This window comes from Homo sapiens, chromosome 1, assembly GCF_000001405.40.
Source record: "Homo sapiens chromosome 1, GRCh38.p14 Primary Assembly".
Lineage (NCBI taxonomy): Eukaryota > Metazoa > Chordata > Mammalia > Primates > Hominidae > Homo > Homo sapiens.
In genome coordinates this window covers 83,284,053-83,287,153 of record NC_000001.11, presented here as the reverse complement: position 1 = coordinate 83,287,153, position 3,101 = coordinate 83,284,053, and positions in this window count along the sequence as shown.

Here is a 3,101-nt window from a genome sequence, read left to right as displayed (position 1 = left end):
ATTTGGATAGGAAGACATTATAGAGAAGGTCACAGAAAAAATTATAGATGGTGTGATTAGCAAACAATGACTTTTAAATATTAAAATGTATTAAATAAATTATAAGAAAAGATATATATAATGAGTGAAAAAATGAAGAATTCTGTGGAGCTATAAAGACTCAAAAGAAGAACTAAATGGAAATTCCAGAACTGAAAAAGGCAAACAGTTCATTCAAGAGGATTAAAAGCAGATTGAATATTTAAGAGAAAAGGATTAAGGAACTTGAAGATGCACCAAGAGTTATTCAACTAAAGCACAGACAGCAGAAGTTAAAAACAAAATTGAGCCAGAATGACCTGTGAAGCCAAATCAAGCCATTCTGCATATCTGCAATTAGAGTCCTAGAAAAAGGGCGAGATAATGGTTCAGAAAAATATATCCAGATAAACAATGGCTGAAAAATTTCTAAATTTAATTAAAAATTTCAAACTCAAGATATAAGAGATCCAACACTCTTCAGGTAGGATAGATGCAAAGAAAACCACAACTACACACATTATAGTCAAAGTGCTGAAAACCAATACAGGCACACCTTGGAGATACTGAGTTTGGTTCCAGACCACCACAGTAAAGCAAGTCACACGAAATTCTGGTTTTTCAGTGCATATAAAAGTTATGTTTACACTACCTATAGTCTATTAAGTGTGCAAACACATGTTTGCAAAACAATGTGCATATCATAATTAAAAATACTTTATTGCTAAAAAATGCTAACAAACATCTGAGCCTTCAGCAAATTGTAATCTTTTTGCTGGTGGAGGGTCTTGCCTAGAGGTTGATGGCTGCTGACTGATCAGGGTAGTGGTAGCTCAGGGTTGAGTGGCTGCAGCAATTTCTGAAAATAAGGCAACAATGAAGTTTTCAAAGATGTCTCTGTAACATGTGAAGCTGTGTGATTGCATTTTATCCACAGAACTTCTTTCAAAATTGGAATCAGTCCCCTCAAACTATGCTGCTTCTTTATCAAATAAGGTTTATGTAATATTCTAAATCCTTGGTTGTCATTTAAACAATATACACAGCATCTTCACCAGGAATAGATTCCATCTCAAGAAACACTTTTATTGTTCATCCGTAAGAAGCAACTTCTCATCTGGTCAAATTTTATCACAAGATTGCAGCAATTCAGTCACTTCTTTAGGCTCCACTTCTAATTCTAGTTCTCTTGAGGTTTCCACCACAAATACAATGACTTTCTCCACTGAGGTCTTGTACCCCTCAGAGTCATCCATGAGGGTTGGAATTAACTTCTTGCAAACTGCAGTTAATATTAATATTTTGACCTCTGCCCATAAGTCACAAATGTTCTTAAAGGTATCTAGAATGGTGAATTCTTTCCAGGAGGTTTTCAATTGGCTTTGCCCTGATCTATTAGAGGAATTACTATCTACAACAACTGTAGCCTTACAAAATGTGTTTCTTAAAGAGTGACTTGTAAGTGAAAATTAATCCTTGATCCATGGGCTGCAGAATAAATATGTTAGCAGGCATGTTAACAACAATCATCTCCTTGTACATCTTCATCAGAGCTCTTGGGTGACTAAGTGCCTTTTCAATGAGTAGTAATATTTTGAAAAGAATATTTTCTCTAAGCAGTAGAACTCAACAGTGGGCTTAAAGTCTTTGATAAACCACGTCGTCATTGCAGCTTTCTTGTTTCATTTATAGAGCACAGGCAGAGTAGGTTTAGCATAATTCTTAAGGGCCCTAGGATTTTCTGAATGGTAAGTGAACATTGGCTTCAACTTTATTACCAGCTGCGTTAGTCCCTAATGCAGTCATCATCCCCTTTGAAGCTTTGAAGCCAGGTATTGACTTCTCCCCTCTAGCTACAAAGGTCCCAGATAGCATCTTCTTTCAATAGAAGGCTATTTTGTCTACATTGAAAATTGGTTATTTAGTGTAGCCACCTTCAACAATTATCTAAGCTAGATCTTCTGAATAACTTGCAGCTTCCACATTAGCCCTTGCTGCTTCACCTTGTACTCTTATGTGATGAAGATGGCTTTTTTCTTTGAACCTCATGAGCCAACCTCCTCTAGCTTCCAAATTTTTTTCTGCAGCTTCCTCACCTCTCTCAGACTACACAGAATTGAACAGTTAGGGCCTTGTTTTGATTAGGCTTTGGCTTAAGGGAGTGCCTGGTTTGATCTTCTATCCAGATCACTAAAACCTTTTCCATATCAGCGGTAAGGCTGTTTCACATTCTTTTCATTCATGTTGTTCACTAGGGTAACACTTTCAATTTCCTTCAGGAACTTTTCCTCTTTATTTATAACTTGACTAATTGTTTAGTGCAAGAGCTCTAGCTTTTGGCCTGTCTGGGTTTTTGACATGCCTTCCTCACTAAGCTTAATCATGCTAGCCTTTGATTGAAAGTGAGAGATTTGTGACTCTTCCTTTAACTTGAACACTTTGAGGCCATTGTAAAGTTATTAACTGGTCTAATTTAAATGTTGTGTCTCAGGAGATAGAGATGCCGGAGGAGAGGGAGGGAGATGGGAGATTGCATTGGCTAGTTGGTAGAGCAGTCAGAACACACATTTATTAAGTTCACTGTCTTACATGAGCATGCTTCTTGATACCCCAAAATAATTACAATAGTAGCATCAAAGATCACTGATCACAGGTCACCACAAGATAACCACAACATAACATACTTATACCATAATAGTAAATATAATATATATTTACTATTGAAGCCTAACATATTTTTCCTAAATATGAAATGAAAAAGCTTAAAATATTGTAAGAATGACCAAAACGTGACACAGAGACACAAAGTGAGCACATGCTATTGGGAAAATGGTGCCAATAGACTTGCTGGACACAGGGTTGCCACAAACCTTTGATTTGTAAAAAGCACAGTATCTGTGAAGTGCAATAAAATGAAGCACAATAAAAAAGAGATATGTCTGTAATTAGGAAAGGAAGAGGAGAAGGATGAGGGAGAAAAATGTTGGTGGGAATACTCTTTGTCTAACTCAGATATAATTTTAACAATTCTCTCCCATCACTTGAAAAAAATTACAGTTGAAATAAGAACAAAAGTATAAACT